This window comes from Homo sapiens, chromosome 6, assembly GCF_000001405.40.
Source record: "Homo sapiens chromosome 6, GRCh38.p14 Primary Assembly".
Taxonomy (NCBI): domain Eukaryota; kingdom Metazoa; phylum Chordata; class Mammalia; order Primates; family Hominidae; genus Homo; species Homo sapiens.
In genome coordinates, this window is record NC_000006.12 from 68,253,583 (window position 1) to 68,274,986 (window position 21,404).

The 21,404-nt window shown below is 36.0% G+C and overlaps 1 long non-coding RNA gene across 1 annotated transcript in view; it reads right to left on the reverse strand.

Annotated features, from left to right (window-relative positions):
• Window positions 1-21,404, reverse strand: part of LINC02549 (long intergenic non-protein coding RNA 2549) — a 102,930-nt gene that overhangs the window by 26,613 nt on the left and 54,913 nt on the right. The window contains exon 3 of the long non-coding RNA NR_125854.1: window positions 12,918-13,033. This is a non-coding gene — a long non-coding RNA (long intergenic non-protein coding RNA 2549). The remainder of the gene's footprint in view (window positions 1-12,917; window positions 13,034-21,404) is intronic.

Here is a 21,404-nt window from a genome sequence, read left to right on the forward strand (position 1 = left end):
GGTAATAATTGTTTTATAAATTTAGGAGCTCCAGTGTTAGATACATACATATTTAGGATTGTGATATTTTCCTGTTGGACTAATCCTTTTATTGTTATATAATGTTCCACTTTGTCTCTTTTTTTTTCTATTGTTGGTTTAAAGTTTGTTTTGTCTGATATAACTGTAGCTACTCCTGCTAACTCTTGGTTTCCATTTGCATGGAATATCATTTTTGACCCCTTTGCCTTATGTTTATGGAAGTCCTTATGTATTAGGTGAGTCTCTTGAAGATACCAGATACTTGGTCGGTGAGTTTTAATCCATTCTGCCATTCTGTATCAATTAAGTTGAGCATTTAGGGCATTTACTGTCAATATTACTATTGACATGTGAGGTACTGTTCTACTCGTCATGCTAGTTCTTGCCTTAATACCCTTTTAAAAATAATTGTATTATTGTTTTATAGGCCCTGTGAGATTTATTTTTGCACAGGTTCTATTTTGGTGTATTTTGAGATTTTGTTTCAAGAATTAGAGCTCCTTTTAGCATTTCTCATAGTGCTGGTTTGACAGTGGCAAATTCTGTCAGCATTTGTTTGTCTGAAAAAAAAAACTGTATCTTCCCTTTATCTATGTAGCTTAGTTTTGCTGGATACAAAATTCTTAGCTGATAATTATTTTGTTCCACAAGGCTAAATATGAGACCTCAATACCTTCTAGCTTGTAAGATTTCTGCTGAGAAATCTACTGTTAATCTGATACATTTTCCTTTGTAGGCTATCTGATGTTTTTGCCTCACAGCTCTTAAGATTCTTTCCTTTGTCTTGACTTTAGATAACCTGATGACTATGTGCCTAGGTGATGATCTTTTTTTGTGATGAATTTCCCAAGTGTTCTTTGAACTTTTCGTATTTGGATGTCTAGATATCTAGCAAGGTCAAGAAAGTTTCCCACAATTATTCCATCAAATAGGGTTCCCAGACTTTTATTAGATTTCTCTTCTTTCTCAGTAACACCAGTTATTTTTATGTTTGGCTGTTTAACATAATCCCGGATTTCTAGGAGGCTTCATTTTTTTTTTTTTTTCTTCTTCTGTCTGATTGGGTTATTTGAAGCCTTGTCTTCAAGCTCTGAACTTCTTTCTTCTATTTGTTCTAGTCAATTCTTGACACTTTTCACTGCATTTTGTATTTCTGTAAGTGTGTCTTTCATTTCTATGTATGAAATGAAAGTATGATTGTTTTCTCCTTATGATATCTATTTCTCTGGAGAACTTTTCATCCATATCCTATATATTTTTTTTAAATTTCTTTAAGTTGTGTTTCACCTTTCTCTGGTATCTCCTTAAGAAGTTTAATAATCAGCCTTCTGAATTCTTTTTCTGGCAATTCAGAGACTTCTTTTTGGTTTGGATCTATTGCCGGGAGCTGGTGTGAGGTGTTATAGAATACACCTCTTTTGGAGGTGTTATAGAATCCTTTTTTGTCATAATATTAGAATTACTTTTCTGGTTCATTCTCATCTGGGTAGACTATTTCAGTGGAGAGATCTGAAACTCAAGGCCTGCTGTTCAGATGCTCTCATCCCATGGGCTGATTCCTTGATGTGGTGCTCTTCCCCTTTCTTTAGGGATGGGGCATTCTGAGAGCTGAACGGTAGTGATTGTTAGATCTCTTCTGGGTCTAGCCACCCAGTGGGGCTACTAGGCTACAGCCTGCTGTGAGAGAGTGTCTGCAAAGAGTCTTGTGATGTGACCTTTGTTCAAGTCTTCCAGCCATGGATATCAGCACTTGCTCTGGTGGAGGTGACAGGGGAGCGGGGTAGACTCTGTGACAGTCCTTGGTTGTAGGTATGTTTAGCGTGCTGGTTTTCTTGAATGCTGGTTGTGCTAGCAGTGAAGTTGTCACATGGACACACTCAGAACCTCTGGTTAGCCAAGATGTTGCAGCCAGTGGAATTGGGTATTGTCTTCTCCTTCCTGAGATCATGGATATTCTGTCATGAGTTGCTGCAAAGGCCTGCATTGGTGGGCTTCCAGCCAGGAGGTGACACTTTCAAGAGAGCACTAGCTGTGGTAGTAGTGGCGGGGGTTGGGGGGATAACGCCAAGCTTGCCCTAAGTTGGCCAGGGTAAGTATTTTGGTTTCTCAGGTGATAGGTGGGGCCTTAAAGCCCCCAAGAGCTTATATGTTTGTATTCAGCTACCAGGGCAGGTAGAGAAATACCATCAGGTAGGGGCAGGGTTAGGCTGGTCTGGACTCAGACTTTTTGTGGCGGGGTTTGCTGGTTTGCAAAGCCACTGTGAGGGATGTGGGAGGTGGTTCTCAAGCCAATGGGGTTATGTTCAAGAGAGGATCTTGGCTGCCTCTGCTGTGTCATATAGTTCACCAGGGAATGGGAAGATAGCTGGTAGCAAGAGGCCTCACCAAGTTCTCACACAGCTGGGGAGTGTCCTGCTCAGACCTTGCCCCAGGCTGTGAGCTTCCCTGCTGAGAAACCAAACATGGCTTATGGACCTCACCCCTCCCCATCTGGTCACTCCATTAGTGGTGGCTCCTGTGCTCATCTCTGCAGCAGCTTCTGCTCATGTCCTGGACTCTGCTCAGGAAAATTTGTGTCCAGTGGAAACTACTACCAATTTCAGTTGGAAGCTTTCTTTATCCCACAACCTCTCCCCAATTCCACTTGTTGCCTTCCCTGAGGGCCCCTGTGAGATATAGTCAGGAATAGCCTCCCTGGGTTCAAGCTGAAGACTGGGAGTGCCTGCAAGACTCTTCCTGCTGCTTCTTCTACTTTTATGTTTCATGTGACTCCCTAAATTTTTTTCAGTTTTAGGTAAAGTTAAATCCTTCTCCTGTGATCTGGATTTTCAGATATCCCAGTGGTAATGTGGGTTCAGAAGCAGATTTTCCCCCTCTCACACCATGGGAACTCACAGTTTTTGCCTGTTTTGTGGATTTTTCTGTGGCATGTCACTTCTTTCAAAGGATCTGTGAATTTTTTGTTAGTTTTCATGGTACATTCCTGTGGTAGCTGTTGGAGAATATCGTGCTGTGAGTCTCCACATACTGTTCTGTCTGTCCAAGTGGAAGCTGTATGTTAGCCATGTCTCCTATCCACCATCATGTCTCTCTTCCCTGTTTGCCTACAAACACTTTCACGAGAGAAACATTAGATATAAATAAATCCATCAATTCAGAAACTCTACAATTTTGAAAATTATATCAGTAAATGGAGTGTTAAATATGTATCTTTTTGATGAAATAATCATCACAACAGTTAAGAATCATGAATGATACGGTTTGGTTGTGTCCCTACCCAAATTTCATCTTGAATTCCCAGGTGTTGTGGGAGGGACTCAGTGGGAGGTAATTGAATCATGGGGGTGGGTCTTTTCCATGCTGTGATAGTGAATAGGTCTCATGAGATCTGATGGTCTTAAAAATGGGAGTTTTTCAGCACAAGCTTTCTTTTCTTATCTGCCACCATATGAGATATGCCTTTAACCTTCTGCCATGATTATGAGGCCTCCCCAGCCAGTTGGAACTGTAAGTCCATTAAACTTGCTTCTTTTGTAAAATGCCCAGTCTTGGGTATGTCTTTATCAGCAGCATGAAAACAGACCAATACAACGGATAAATATACTCAATTATTTTTCTAGGTCAGCATTTCTCAAAGTTTAATAGAACTCCAGTTGGCCAGTATATAAATAAACACACTATTAAAAAGTCCCCTGTGGTTACATAAATTTAGATTACGCTGAATTATACAGAGATTCAGTTTTTTATTGTATCGCTTTTAAAGTTTTAAATAAGATTATGTAAGCAACTTATATGTATTTGTCTTAGTTTTAGGTTCCACCCACCCTCTCTCTCTCAAAGCAGTCCAAGTCAAGGGTTCCAACTGAAAGTGATTTATTTGCTAAGTGATCCCAGGAAGGAAAAAAAAAAAAGAAAAAGAAAAAGAAAAAAAAAAAACAAGTGGGTAAGTGACACAAAAATTAAAAAAAATTACAGAATATAGTAGTGAGAGAGTTATCACTGGGCAATTTAGGCTCAATCCCACTGTGGATCTCTGTAGATTGGGCAGAATACCAAAAAGTTGTACCACATAGCGATGAGAAACCTGAGGGATTTATTCATCAGCGTCTATCCATCATTAATAGAAAGCTGTTCCCAGTGATGTTAACTGCCTGGCACTTCCATAGAAAACTGCTGGCATGATTAGGAATGATGAATGCTAGGAGGATTTGGAGAGAGCACCAACAGCCTCTAATAGAGCTGCCATTTTTTAAGTAAATTTACCCAAGAGCTTGTGGAGAGAGAAGAAAAGCCTCCACACATGTCCAACTCTCTGTCTACTTTCTTCCCTCTAAGGATGGATTGCTATCGTCTTGGCTAATTTGCAAAATATAAAAAGTGCTACATTTGTGAGTAGACAGCATATTGTGCTTGCAAAAATTGTGTTTTTGTTTATAGTTGTCTTTGGGATTCTCTTTCATCTTTCCTGCAGGTCCAACCCCAGGAACAGCTTAACCATGCTGACCTCTCTCTCTTTTTAAGCATTCTTAAATTAATGATTGCTTCAGGTTCTTACACCAAGCATCTGATTATAGGCGATAAGTTCTAAGATTTAGATATTGGCTTCGAGAAAGCTGAGATGCTTCATATTATGTGCTGATTTGGACAGGGCATAATACCAAGCTATTTAATTTAACAATAATCTATATGTCACTGTGAAGGTGTTCTGTAGATGTAGGTAACAGCTACAACTAGTTAACTTTAAGAAAAGGACATTACACTCAATAATGTGTGTAAGGCTCATTCAGTCAGTTAAAGGCCATAAGGACAAAAACTGAGGCTTCTTGGAGAAGAAGAAATTCTGCCTCAAGATTGAAGCGTTAACTCCTGTCTTCCTGCCATGTATACCCACACAAACACACAGAGTCATTTTTTGCTTAACTCTAAGTATTTGTTCTAAGAAATATGTCTTTAGGTGTTTTCATCATTGTGCATACATCTTACAGTGTACTTACACAAACTTAAATGTTATTGCCTGCTACACACCTAGGCTATGTGGTAGAGACTATTGCTTCTGAGCTACAAACCTGTACAACATGTTGCTGTTCTTTACTAAATATTCTATGCAGTTATAATACAATGGTATTTGTGTATCCAAATCTGTCTAAACTTAAACAAGATGTAGTAAAAATACAATATAAAAGATAAAAAATTGTACATCTGTAAAGGGCCCTTTTCAGGCATGGAACTTTCTGGGTGTCACTGAGAGAGAAGTGAGTAAATGTGAAGACCTAGGACATTACACTTTTTCAATGACCGGTAGTGCAGTAGGTTTTTTTACACAAGTATCACCACAAACATGTAAGTAATGAGTTTTGCTATAACTTTAAATGGCTATGATGTCACTAGACGAAATGAATTTTTCAGCTCCATTATAATCTTATGGGACCACTGCAATATAGGTGGTCTTTCATTGACCAAAATGTCACATATAGCACATGGCTGTGTGTGTGTGCATATATATACATACACATATATATATATGTGTGTGTGTATATATATATGTGTGTGTGTGTGTTTGTGCACAGTTTTTTCTCCTGTTGGTTTTGTTTTTTGGCAGAATCGTGACATATATAAGGAGATAATAGACCCTAACTGATCTTTCGGAGGAAGGAATTTGTTCAGATCCAGTATTACCAGAGCCTTGAAGTTGAGTATCAGGTTACGGGCCCATCTAAAAATGAGACAGCATTTTCTCCCATTATGTTATTGGACCTTTTTTGTGTATCTCACTCAGAAATTTTACAGAAAAAGAAGCAAATGTCTGATGAGATTCAGGTAGTCTTTGGATATTGTATTAGTCCATTTTCACACTGCTGATAAAAACATACCCAAGACTGGGAAGAAAAAGAGGTTTAATGGACTTACAGTTCCACATGGCTGGGGAGGCCTCACCATCATAGTGGAAGGCAAGGAGGAGCAAGTCACATCTTATGTGAATGGTGGCAGGCAAAGAGAGAGAGCTTGTGCAGGGAAATTCCCATTTTTAAAGCCATCAGATCTCAAGGGACTTATTCACTATCATGAGAACAACATGGAAAAACCTGCCCCATGATTCAATTACCTCCCACCAGGTTCCTCCCATGACACGTGGGAATTGTGCGAGTTACAATTCAAGATGAGATTTGGGTGGGGACACAGCCAAACCATATCATTCCACTCCTGGCCCCTCCCAAATCTCATTTCATCCTATTTCAAAACCAGTCATGCCTTCCCACATTCCCCCAAAGTCTTAACTCATTTCAGCATTAACCCTAGAGTTGACAGTCCAAAGACTCATCTCAGACAAATAAGTCCATTCCACTTATGAGCCTGTAAAATCAAAAGCAAGTGAATTACTTCCTAGATACAGTGGGGGTACAGGTATTGGGTAAATACAGCTATTCCAAATGGGAGAAACTGGCCAAACAAAGGGGCTACAGGGTTTCACACAAGTCCAAAATTCAGCAGGGCAGTCAAATCTTAAAGCTCCCAAATGATCTCCTTTGACTCCATGTCTCACATCCAGGTCACGCTGATGCAAGCAGTGGGTTCCCATGGTTGTGGCAGCTCTGCTCCTGTGGCTTTGCAGGATATAATCCCCCCTCCTGCCTCATTTCGTGAGCTGGCACTGAGTATCTGAAGCTTTTTCAGTGCACAGTGAGAGATCTCAGTGGATCTACCATTCTAGGATCTGGAGAATGGTGGCCCTCTTCTCACAGCTTCACTAGCTGGTGCCCCAGTAGGGACTCTGTGTGAGGGCTCCAACCCCACATTACCCTTCTGTGCTGCCCTAGCAGAGATTCTCCATAAGGGCCCCAACCCTGCAGCAAACTTCTGCCTGGATATTCAGGCGTTTCCATACATCTTCTGAAATCTAGGTGGAGGTCCCCAAACCCCAATTCTTGCCTTCTCTGCATTCGCAGGCTCAACACCACATGAAAGCTGCCAAGGTTTGGGAATTGCACCCTCTGAAGCCACAGCCCAAGCTCTACATTGGCCTCTTTCAGCCATGGCTAGAGTGGCTGGGACTCAGGGCACCAACTACCTAGGCTGCACACAGCACAGGGACCTTTGTCCTGGCCCACAAAACCACATTTTCCTCCTAGGTCTCTGGGTCTGTGATGAGAGGGGCTGCCATGAAGACCTCCGACATGCTCTGGAGACATTTTTCCCATTTTCTTGGGGATTAACATTTGTCTACTCATTATTTATGCAAATTTCTGCAGCTGGCTTGGATTTCTCCTCAGAAAATGGGATTTTCTTTTCTATCACACTGTCAGGCTGCAAATTTTCCAAACTTTTATGCTCTACTTCCCTTATAAAACTGAATGTGTTTAATAGCACACAAGTCACCTCTTGAATGCTTTGCTGCTTAGAAATTTCTTCCACCAGATACCTAAATCATCTCTCTCAAGTTCAGAGTTCCACAGATCTCTATGGCAGGGACAAAACACCACCAGTCTCTTAGCTAAAATATAATAAGAGTTGCCTTTGCTCCAGTTTCAAACAATTTCCTCATTTCCATCTGAGGCCTCCTCAGCCTGAATTTTAATGTCCCTATCACTATCAACATTTTGGGCAAAATCATTCAAGTCTCTAGGAAGATCCAAATTTTGTCACATTTTCCTGTCTTCTGAGCCCTCCAACTTTCCCAACCACTTCCTGTTACCCAGTTCCAAAGTCACTTCCACTTTTTTGGGTATCTTTTCAGCAGCACCCCACTCTACTAGTACCAATTTACTGTATTAGTCTATTTTCATGCTGCTAATAAAGATGTACCCAAGACTGGGAAGGAAAAGAGTTTTAGTGAACTTAAGTCACTGGGATTTTCAGACTGTAGGTTGCCACATCATAATCTATTGTGTTCTGACCTTTACATTTGTGAAACCAACACACTGAGACTCACTGAGACTCATGGTCTGAAGGCATAATATAGGCGTAAATAGCCAAACAATCATTAAATGTAGGTAACCCATATGATAATGAATTAACCCATATGATATCCAATGTTCCTATTTGTAATATACCTGAAATACATGTTACTAGGTTGGTGCAGTTACTTTTACACCTTGTGGCTGGGGAGGTCTCACAATCATGGCGGAAGGTAGAAGGAGCAAGTCACATACTACATGGATGGGAGCAGACAAAGAGAGAGAGCTTGTGCATGGAAACTCCCATTTTTAAAACTATCAGATTTCATGAGACTTATTCACTATCACGAGGACAGCACGGGAAAGATCCACCCCTGTGATTCAATTACCTCCCACTGAGTTTCTCCCACAACACGTGGGAATTGTGGCAGTTACAATTCAAAATGAGATTTGAGTGGGGACACAGCCAAATCCTATCAGACATCAAGTCAAATACCATATAATATTACCAAAACACATTTTTACTCGTAGTTGACTCATGATTCTTAGAATAGTTTGAGAAAGTTTGTCTTTTATATATGACACTCTCTTTAATTCTACCACTTCAGCAATAGCAACAAATCAACCAGTATTTCTGTCTCAGCTTTCTAGAACACATTTACTCCAATTAACTCCTTTGAGCATAAACAGAGTTTATATTAAATTAGTGCAAAAGTAATTGTGGTTTTTGCCATTACTTTTAATGGTGAAAACCACAATTAGTTTTGCACCAACCTGTATTTCAGGTATATTACAAATAGGAAAACGAGTATCAGTTGGGTTAATTCATTATCATATGGGTTACCTACATTTAATGATTATTTGGCTATTTATGCCTATATTATGCCTTCAGACCATGAGTCCCAGTTTGTTGTTTTCACAAATGCAAAAGTCAGAACACAATAGATTATAATGTGGCAACCCACAGTCAGAAAATCCCAGTGACTTAACAAGAATTAATTCTTCACTTGTCTTTTGTGGGCCTGAGATTCTTTCTAGGAACACCATCCTCCACATGGCTCCTCAGAATTCTAGGCTGATGGAGGATCCATAGCCTGCTGCTGCACTATCTACAATATGTGATGTCTGCAGCAAGGCAACAGGAAAAAAAATATTGCAGGGTCTCAAGCCATCAACTACGTGCTTTGTTAAGGAAATGATGTGTATTACTTCTGCTCAAAATACATTTGCTGGAGAAGTTACATTTCTACGTATATTTTTTAAAGAGTTTGGAAATGTAATCTCAACCTTTACTTAGAATAAAAGAAGAACTGGATGAGCAAAAATATTAGAAGTCTCTATCTCAAGCTATAAGACTTTAAATTAAAGCTCCACGCAGAATTCACAATATACACAGAGCCCAGGAATTATTTCACATTGCCTAAATTACAAAGTTTGAGTTACTAAATTCTTTGTGTTTTGTATTATTGCAACTATAACTTTGCACTGATGAATATAGTATTCTCTGTATCTGAAAGGTATGATATGCAACAATTTTTGGAGTGATGGTGGGCAATATAAGGAAAACCACAAAAAAGCAACAACAAAACATACACATATCATTGACATAAAATTTTCTGTATATTATTTTAATATCTAATGATAAAAACCATTTACTTTAAGACATCTGTAAATGTTAGGAAAATAAACAAAACTCTAACCTTTGCCATTTATGCACAATACACAGTATTAAAGAATGTGTTAACATATCTATGCAATGTCTGTTCATTGTAATTCTACAGGGCCTTTTCTTTTCCCAAGGTAGTTTCCTCCAGAGAGAAGACCTTGCAGTTGCTGCATTTGTTCCTGCTGAATGAGAAGGTCATTATATTCATAGTAACAGATGTTGCACCTGATGGTTCATCTTTTACATTTAGGAAACTTTTACCCCAAAACAGGCAGTTTTATGAAACATCAATAATTTTACAAAATAAATGTTCATCCCATAAACTCTTTTCTTAAAAAAAACATAAACATGCTTTTATTCCACAAATCTAATGTGATTATTATTATAAGTTGGCCATAATTTCAAAACTTTAAAATTTCACTACCTGAAAATGAATGAGCATTTTCTTCAAATACTCATTACTTACTTCAAATCTGGAATTATTTGCATGTAGCTTTTTTTCTTTTAATTAAGTGTAACTTGATCTTGAATTCTAATAGTAGTTAAACTGATGGTTAACCATATTTTTATATTTGGTTGTTATGTTCCTGAGTGTGACAGGTGCTCAAACTTTCCCACATCATTATAATCAGGGAATAAATCTTACTTTCACTAAACCTTCAAAAAGAGAGGAAAGCTGAAATACATTGATCAAAATTAATCTTGTCACATCAAATTGTATTAGCTATCTGAAATCTTTGATGAACTTTTAGAGAAAGTCAAAATGAAAATAACTCAGAGCCTGAAGACCACTCTATGTACAATTTACATTCACTATACCTCTTTCAGCAAATATTTACTGGGCATCCACCATGTGCCTTGTACCTTATCCTATGCTCAGTTCTGGATATAAAATGGTGTTGAAGATCAACTTCAATGGAAAGCACAGTCTGAAATGGAGTTAGCCTTCTGAGAGGCAAAGGGGCTTGAACTTATTATGCACTGGCCAGTCATTGGATGCAGCAGCCCCTAAAAAGAAGGCATGACTTTGAGGAAGGTAGCCAGCCAAACTCTAGAAGCTAGGGATATATGTGCTTCAGTCCTAAAGCTGAGAACTGATCAACACAGAGTCTATGCAATCCCTTCTATCAGAGAATGTAAGCATAATTATATAATATATATTACACACAAGCTTCCTTGTGGTCCTGTTATTGATTTTTAATTCCTTTTAATGAAGTAACTGGTAAAATTCCTGAAAGATAAGTCTTAGATCTGGTCTGATTTGATTCACCTTCTCATGTTTATTCCATTGTTAGGTAAGTATGAGTAATATCTTCACATATTAATTCTGAAAAAATATTAATTCAGCTATGGCCTTAACACATTTTCTTCAATAGAAAAATAATGTGCTACTATATTTATTGCATCTTATTGGGGTACAGGAAAATTTATGTGCATAATAGAGTATTCATAAATTTTTTGAAATGGGGAGTAAGTAATATTATGATGTTCCATTTAGAAGCATGTTAATAAAAATGATTTAAATATAGTGTCATAAAGAATGGTATTACACAAAGTTATCTGAAGCAGGCACTTGCTATTAATTTAAGGAGAATCATGTGGATATTCCTACATCAGTTACTACATGTAATTTTAAATGACCATTTAACCTTTTTATGGATTCAACTACTGTTGGTCTAGAATGAGATTAAGGGTTGTTCAAATATGATCTAAACAGAGATGTTTAAAACTATTTGTAACTGCATGTGATCCTGCAGTTATCTGACAAAAAGTCACCCTTCAGGGGCATTGACCTCCAGGATATGTTTTGCATGCTCAAAGGAACAAGAGATAATAGAGGTTTTAATGCAGCTATTCGGAAACTAACAGAGCATTTTAGACCTCAGAAAAAATTGTTCCCTCTGAGAGACATATGCCCATGGAGATGAATGAAGAGCATGGTTAGCCTGTTGAGTCCTTGGTTAACTGCCTGACTTGCTAGTCTCATCACATGATTTAAGGCATAAAAATTAGACCCTGCTATAGAGTTGAATATATACCGGGTTCATTTTCCGGGGCTAGCCCACAAGGAGATTAGCAGCCTAGGATTTTATTTCATTGGGGGTATGTAAGTTATTAGACCATGAAGGTAGTATACTAGCAAGATAGATGTCCTCCTTTGTATGTCAAGCAAATCTAGAAGCAAGAAAGCCAAAAGGCTTAGAAAAATTTGATCAGCAATGTGCAGATATTGAAGAACATTTTCTCAAACCTCTGCTATGATAACTCTGGCAGTGTGTTCAAGAGTACTTGGCACTCAGAAAAGCAAAGTCACTCTTGCATCTCCAATATCTATTGACATCAGAACATATTCACGTTATGCACCAAATATTTAATATAAATAAAATGAGTAAATGCCATTGAACTGGAGTCACTTTCACAAAGTCTGATTTGAAGCTGAATTTAGAACATTCCTCTACAGCATAAAATACTTATGGTTCTAAACAGTGACAGAAAACAAAACATTTTGAATAATATTTCATGTGTGCTTCAAAGAAACTTCAAATAAATTAGCTTATAATATGTAAAGCACACCAAAATGAACTAGATTAGTTGTATCTAGAGATGGAGGAGCCCTATATAAATGAAACAAATATAACTTTCATAGCAAAATCTACCACAAATAGATAACACCTGTTGAGCAACTATAAGTTAGAGAAAGTTATTGGAGAGCTCAACTGTTTTGCTATTAATTCTGTAAAAAAAGTATTTTTCACTAAGTTATACATTTTAAGACTATGCCATTTTTACTTATCTGGATGCTGTGTGCCTGGCTTTTTCTTTTGGGCTTTTGGCTAATTGTATCAAGAGAAAACAGCTGTGATCACCCAAGATGAGTGTAGAAAAACAGGCAAAGCATTTCCAAAGATTTAGGGAAGAAAAGAGAGCATGCTATAGCAGCAGCATGAGTGAAGCCAGCGCAATGTTTCCATACATCAGCAAATAGACTGAGAGTCTCTGACTTTAACCTGTTTCATTCTGAAGGCAGCTCTGAGAGCACTGTCCACTGGTTATACTCATATCTCTTTCTAATGAGCATCCTCAGAAAAGTAGGTATATAACTGCACCTAATCACTGAGAGTAATAATTGTACCTATAAAAAGGACTCTTTGTGCCATCTGGATATCACGTACATATATAAATATTTTCATAAAAATTAACTTGCCTGTAATCCCAGCACATTGGGAGGCTGAGGTGGGCAGATCACGAGGTCAGGAGTTCAAGACCAGCCTGGCCAATATGGTGAAACCCTGTCTCTACTAAACATACAAAAAATAGCGGCATGTGGTGGTGCGTACCTGTAGTCCCAGTTGCTTGGGAGGCTGAGGCAGAAGAATCACTTGAACCTGGGAGGCAGAGATTGCAGTGAGCCGAGATTGTGCCATTGCACTCCAGCCTGGGTGACAAGGCAAGACTAAATAAATAAATATATAAAAAATAAAATAACTTTAGTAGTCTGTCCAGTGAGTAGGTTCAAACAACACATTACAAAAAGAGTAGGGTACTGGCATAAAAACAGACATAGAACAGTGGAATAGAATAGAAAGCCTGTTAATAAACCCAAGGATATATGGTCAGCTAATTTTTCACAAGGTCACCAAGACGCAATAAAGAAATAATAGTCTTTTCAGTAGATGGTATTGGGAAAACTGGATATTCACATGTAAAAGAAAAAATTTAGTTATTACCTTACACTATACACAAAAATCTACTCAAAATAGATTAAAGACTTAAACACAATAACTAAAATCATAAAACTCATAGAAGAAGATACAGGGAAAAAGCTCCCTGATATTGATCTTGCCAATGATATTTTGGACATTACATCAGAAGTTCAGGAAACAAAAGCAAAAATAAACAAATGGGTCTATATATAACTAAGGAATCAGCAGCAAAGGAAGCCATCAACAAAATGAAAAGCTGGAAGATCAGGAGAAAATATTTGTAAACTATATATCTCATAAAAAGTTAATACTCAAAATATATAAGAAGAGAGTACATGCTTGATATGGTTTGGCTGTGTCCCCACCCAAATCTCACCTTGAATTTTAGTTCCCATAATCCACATGTGTCAAGGGAGGGAAGAAGTGGAGGTAATTGAATCATAGGGGTGGTTTTCCCCATCCTGTTCTTGTGATAGTGAGTTAGTTCTCATGAGATCTGATGGTTTTATAAGGGGCTCCCCCCTTTGCTGGGCACTCATTCATTCTCCTTCCTGGTACCCTCTGAAGAAGGATGTGTTTGCTTTCCTTCCACCATGATTATGAGTTTCCTGAGGCCTCCCCAGTCATGTGGAACTGTGAGTCAATTAAACCTCTTTCCCTTATAAATTACTCAGTCTCAGGTATTTATTAGCAGTTGGAGAACAGACTAATACAACATGCAATAAAAAAATTAAAAATTAGCAAAGTTCTTAATGGACAGCTTTTCAAAAAAGACATACAAATGGCCAACAGGTATACAAAAATGTGTTCAACCTTACTAATCGTTAGGGAAACACAAATAAAAAGGACAATGAAATATCACATCAAACCTATTAGGACTGCTATTATAAAAACTACAAGTGTGGAGGAAAGGAAACCCTTCTACACTGTTGGTAAAAATATAAGTTGCTAAAGCCATTATAGAAAATAGTATGGAGAATCCTCAAAAAAAATAAAATTGTTTTTAATAATTATAAATATAATTATAATTATATAAACCAGCAATCTTTTTCCAGGTGTATACCCAATGGAAATAAAGTCAGCACTTCATAGAGTTAGCTGTATTCCCATGTCTGTTGCAGCATTTTTCATGGTAGTCAAGATAAACAACCTAAGCATATATTGTTGGATAAATGGATAAAAAAACTGAGATATATATAAAAACTGACTCAAATGTTAACCTCCTTTGGCAACACTCACATAGGCACACCCAGGAACACTACTTTTTATTCTTCAATCCAATCAAGTTGACACGTAATATCAACCATCACACAGCTCAATCTTGGATTAAAATCAGAAAGTTTTTGAGCTCATGAGATGATAGAGTTTATTAGCAGTTTAAACAAGTCTGTGAAACTAATATTTGCAATTGACTTATTTACTATAAATTCCGCCTCCTAACAATGCCCTTTTGGAGAAAAAATACATGAATAATAAGGATTACCTATTATAATTTGATTTAGATTTCCATTTGTCCCATATGTTAAGCAGGTGGACAAATAAGGTTGAACATATTTTGTCTTGTTTTTTTCATTATGTGGAAAATAGCAGTCATTATTTTTTTCTTAAATAACATTTTAGAATATACTAAAATTCTGAGTCTCATGAAATAATTTCCCTTGGATCATTATTGACATAATGTAGAATATATAAGACAAATTATTGCCTAAAATATAAACTTTGTACATAGATGGTTTTTTAAGTTTGTAAATTATTGGATGATAACTAATTGGTTATCTAGCATAGGCTCATGCCCTTGTTTTATTCTGTAACATATTTATTAATTCTGTTTTCAATGCTTATTTGATCTACTATATGATCTAGCAACAAAGAACTAGATAATATATGGATAGTGAGACAATTGGGATCTTGACGAAATGATAGTAAAAAATATATATTTGTACTTCCCTTAAGATGAAATATTATCCAAAGTAAAATGCAGTGTTTTCTTCTCTTTAAAAAAGCATTTTATATGTGTGTTATACATTTATAACTGGCATAAACTATAATTGTTATGTGTGTATAACTGTTACATATGCATAATATACAATGGTTATTATGTATAACTCTAAAAACTGGCATAAAATTTTGTATATGTGTGTTATATAGGTGAATATATAACACATATTAGTAAATGTTTTAAACTAAATAAACTTTTAGTTTAAGATTTTGCTATTTTCCAATAATATGACAGCATCATTGAATATTTAAAAATAATAGAGAAATGGATGAAACTAATGGTCTATAGTATAGTTTGAAGTCAGGTAATGTGATGTTCCAGATTTGTTCTTTTTGCTTAGTCTTGCTTTGGCTATGTGGGCTCTTTTTCTTTTCATTTGAATTTTAGGATTTTTTTTGAGTGCTGTGAAAAATGATGGTGGTATTTTGATGGGAATTGCGTTGAATCTGTAGATTTCTCTGGGCAGTATGGTCATTTTCACAATACTGATTCTTCTCATCCATGAGCATGGAATGTGTTTCCACTTGTTTGTGTCATCTGTGATTTCTTTCAGCAGTGTTTTGTAGTTTTCCTTGTAGAGATATTTACCCTCCTTGGCTAAGTATATTCCTAAGGTTTTGTTGTTATTGTTGTTTATTTGTTTGTTGGCTTTTTCAGCTGTTGTAAAAGGAAATGAGTTCTTGATTTGATTCTCAGTTTGGTATTTGTTATATAGTAGTGCTACTGATTTCTGTACATTGATTTTATATCCTGAAACTTCACTGAATTCATTTATCAGATCTAAGAGCTTTTTGGATGAGACTTTAGAGTTTTCTAGATATATGATCATATCACCAGTGAACAGTAACAGTTTGACTTCCTTTTTCCCCTATTTGGATGCCCTTTATTTATTTGTCTTTTCTGATTGCTCTGGCTAAGACTTCCAGGTCTGTTTGAACAGAAGTGATGAAAGTGAGCATCCTTCTCTTATTCCAGTTCTCAGGGGGAATTCTTTCAACTTTTTCCTATTCCAAATGATGTTGGCTGGGAGTTTGTCATGTATGGCTTTTATTACTTTGAGTTAAGTCTATTCTATGCCTATGTTGTTCAGGGTTTTTATCATAATGCGATGCTGAATTTTTTCAAATGCTTTTGTGGCATCAATTGAGGTGATCATATGAAAACCCATATTTTATTTAGTATTTTTGTGTGCAATAATTCCAAGGTTTGTAAAATAAATATTTTATACATATTTTGAAATATTAAATAATATTTTTGTGCATTGTTCATTGAGTACAATCTTTTATTTCATTAATGTATATAGAATGCTTCGAAAAAGACAAATGCATTAGTGAAGGAAATTTAACATCATGAAATTTAGTCTAATATTCTAAAACACAAGTTCTCATGTAGAAATATTAATCAATTTACTTTCATTTTAAACTAAATAAGAGATGCCTACAGTTAAAGAGAAATCGCCCCTTCTACCAGATGTGCATGTTATAGTTGGCAATTTTCTAGGCTGATATCAACATTCCACAGACTTACTTTTTATTTAAAAAATGTACTCAATGCCTCTGGGTGTATCTACAAAGCAGCAAACAAAAAAAATGTTTATTTTTAGTACAGAAATATTAGCAAATTTTAGTTTATTTGCATATTTGACTAAAAATAAGTCATCTTAAACTGTCAAAAGAAGAGAAAGTATCTCCTTTCATACTAAAGGACAGAGTGAAAAAGTTTAACTCTGGAGTTTGCCAGGAAATTATTTGGCATTTAATGAACATAAAGTGAATGAATGAAGAAATGAATGAGCAAAAAATATAAATAGGTGGCAATACATACCTAATACAGAAAGTTGCTTGTTATAAACATAGCAAAGCTCCACACTAATAGAAAATAATCTGACTAAATTTTGATTTGGCCTGATGACTATTTTCTCTCAAACTGTAAAAGAAACAAGAAGAGGAATTAACATTCTCTGATGTTAATTATATTTGACAGAAAGAAACCATTTACGGAGATGAAGCAATATGGACTTTAAAGAAATTTCCCAAGAAGTTTTGGAAAGAAGAGGTTGCTAGAATGTAAGGGAAAAACAATTATGGATAAAGGAAGAGAGAAGTACTTTGGCAGAATTTATAAACAAACTCTGCCAAAGAAAGGTGAAACTCTAAGAAAGTATACTTTCTATAAGACCATAATGAAGAAGTAGAGAGACACATACAGAGTATGATGTGATTGACCAGGAAACTCTTATGAGTAAAAAGTACTGTCAGTTATAACTCTTTTCATTATTTTAACAGACTGATTGAGGTATAATTGACTAATAAAATTGTATACTTCAAACATATACATGATGATTCAATACATGTATGAACTGTGGAAATATAGAATTCAGAAAATTTCAAGTATACAGTACAGTATTATTAACCATAGTCACCATGCTATACACAGATCCCCTTCTTGCATTTCAGTCTTTCACATTCCATATTCAACTCTGTTTCTATAAGTGACTTTTTTAGATTCCACATGTAAATGAAATCATGTAGTATTTTTCTTTCTTTGCTTGACTTATTTCACCTAGCATAATACCTTTCAAATTTCAACCATGTTGTCACAAGTAGTAGGATTTTCTTCCTTTTGTATGGAAAAAAGGAGATCCTTTTGCACTGTTGGTGGGAATGTAAAGTGGTACAGCCATTATGGAAAACAGTATGGAGGTTCTTCAAAATATTAAAAATAGAACTACCATACAGCCTAAAAATCTCACTTCTGAGAGTGCAAAGAAAAGAAAATCAACATCTCAAAGAAATATCTGCATTCCCATGTTCATTTCTGTACTATTAACAACAGCCAAGACACAGTTAATGATTCCTATGCCTCCTCATATCCCCAGAACCTAATATGGCCTGAATAATGTAGGCACTTAATAATGTGTATAAAGGGGAAATCAGGATTAAGACAATGATCCTCATGATTAATCATTATTGACCTGTCTCTCAGGGGTCCTGACTGATTTTTTGTTTTTTTTTTTTTGAGATGGAGTTTCACTCTTGTTGCCCAGGCTGTAGTCCAATGGCACCATCTCAGCTCACTGGAACCTCCGCCTCTCGGGTTCAAGCAATTCTCCTGTCTCAGCCTCCTGAGTAGCTGGGATTACAGGTGCCCACCATTATGCCCGGCCAATTTTTGGTATTTTTAGTAGAGATGGGGTTTCACCATGTTGGCCAGGCTGGTCTTGAACTTCTGACCTCAGATGATCCGCCCACCTCGGCTTCCCAAAGTGCTGGGATTACAGGCATGAGCCACTGCACCCGGCCATGTCCTGACTGATTCTTTACTTGAACTTTGACATTCTTTGACCATTTTGCAATTCAATGGTAAATGTACTAGGAGGGAAGATAGAAAAAGAAAATCCTGTGAGTCTTAAACCATGCAATGTGACAAATGATAAGCACTTATCTAACATGTAAATTAATAAAGGAACTGAGGATCAACTAAATATTAAAATTTATAATAGCAAACACTTTAATTTATACAATGCATGCAATTTCTGTTTCTCACCATCATACAATGGTAAGATTTGTGTTAATTTGATCATGAAAGAAGAAAAATAACAGAGTCAAATCAAAAAAGCACTTGCTGAACAAAAAGCCACCCAAATTTATACCTAGTAACTAATGATCAAACTATTTTGTATTAAAAAAATCTATTTTTTGTGTGTATATAGTATAATATTATTTGCTTCTATTAGGGGCAAATGAGAACGCATGGTACAACATGTAAATTAATGAGAATTGTTCATGATGAGCATTATGTAGGAAACAATAAATAATATATAATTAATAATAACATTCTATAAAGAGTTTTTTTATAAAGGAAAAACTGAATCCTTGTAACTGCATGTCGGGGAACACTGAAAATATAAGTGCTTCCTGCCTCTGCAGATATTATTATACTATTGTAAAGCTAAGACTCACCTAGATGAAAGTAGAAAGAACTATGAAAGTGTAATAAAAAATAGAACAGGCTAAACATATGTGTAAGTACTGAAATATGTAAAAGAGATACTTGTCTGGGTGCATATAAGGAGGAACTAATGCATTGTAAAAGTATTTTAGAAATTGATGGTCAATTTCATGGTGAGTAGTGAAACATCAAAATATCTAAAATGTGGATTGATATTTCAGACAGAATTTCATGTGTCAAATGAAACCATAATTGTAGCACATCTGCTTCACTGATAAAATCTCACTCTTAAAGGGCTAAGGTTTTTCAGTCATGGATGAACATTTATAAGAAAGTAAGTGACTTTCACTGACTAAAGTCATACAGAGTAATTTACAGTTAAATGTTTATTTACCGATTTTTTAATAGGGAGTATTTCTTCTAATGAGCAGAATTATATATATTCTCCATCCAGGATACTGTTTTTGAGATAATTACATGGAACATTAAATTATCCAATAAAAAGGTTTCCTTGGTGAATAAAGAATGGAAAAAAAAGAAAGGAATAAAGGAAGGAAGGAGGGAGGGAGGGAGGAAGGAAGGAAAAAAAGAAAGGAAGGAAAGAAGGAAGGAGGGAGGGAAGGAAGGAAGCAAGGGACAGAAAAGGTAGAAATAAAACCAAAAAATTACTCAAATGGCATTCTCTACAACCTTGAAAACTACTTGGATTATCTGTACCTTAAACTAAAGAACAATCCTTTAGAGTCTGGATTACCCACAGTCCAGATTAATTTCACTCTTACATTCTGCACTTTGTCAACTTTTCTTTCACTCATTCCCACTTTGGTATTCTAACTACCTGCTGTTTTAGTTTCCTATTACCATTGTAAGAAATAATCATAAATGTTGTGGTGTAAAATAATACAAATTAATTATTTTATGATTCTGAAGGGTGGAAGTCCAAGATGTGTTTTGGTGGGCTAAAATCAAAGTGTTTGCAGGGCTGCATTTCTTTCTGTAGGCTCTAGAGGAGAATGCTTCTCTTTCCCTTTTCTAATTTCTAGAGGCTGCACACATTTCTTGGCTCATGGCCCCATTCCTCCATCTTCAAAATCAGCAATAGCATATCAAATCCTTCTCATATTTAGCTCCTTTTTTCCCTCTCTCTTCCACTTTTGAGGACCCTTGTGATTATATGGGGCCCACCAGGATGATCCAGAATAATCTCCTTATTTTAAGGTATATTGATTAGCAATCTTAATCCCATCTGGAATCTTAATTCCCCTTTTTGGTGTGATGTAACATATTCGTAGGTTCCAGGGATTAGTACATTGACATCTTTCAGGATGGGGTCAGTTATTGCTGACCCCACTTACCTTCTATGCTATGTTCTATTTTCTTAATATGGCTCATCAAGTTTCAGCCTAGAAGCTCTTTCTATTGGTTTAAGAGAAATTTTATTTCTTAAATTATGTGACATAGTCAATTCTTCATATAGCTGTTTCTTTTCAACTGTAAGAATCCATAGGAATAATTCACTAAATATTTAATATTGTAACAATAATTATAAGAATCAATCCCTAATGTGAAATAATTTCTGAGCACATAGGCAAATATATCTTTATAATACACAAATAAACCATGCTGCATAATATTAATTCCTACTATTATAGAATTTAAATGATTTTTAAGGCTAGCTGTAAATAAAAATTGTCAAGATTTATTTAGAAATGCAGATGTTCTGACCCTGTCCCAGAGTTACTAAATCAGGATGTCTGAAGATGAACCTCCGATAATTTGTAAAGTGATCAAAATGCAATTTTAATATGTAGCTAGGTCTAAGAATCCTGCATTATTTTATGTAAATATATTGTTAAATTAGATTCTCTATCTTCCACATACTTGATTGATATTTTGCTAAAGGTTACTGAGTTTAGAGATTTCTCTTTCTCATACTATGTTGGTTCTACACATTCCCAGATATGTTGTCTGATATTTATATTCAGTGATAAATGTTTTGGTGAATAGCTCCAGTACTCCTATCTCAAATGTCAAAAAATATTTAAAAATATAATGAATCAAATCCAACAGAAAAAATAAGTCTTAAAATTCCACAAAAGCCCTACAATTTGCTATAGTTTAAGATTGGCATAGATTGACAGTAAAATACAGGATCAGAATTGTTTTCATTA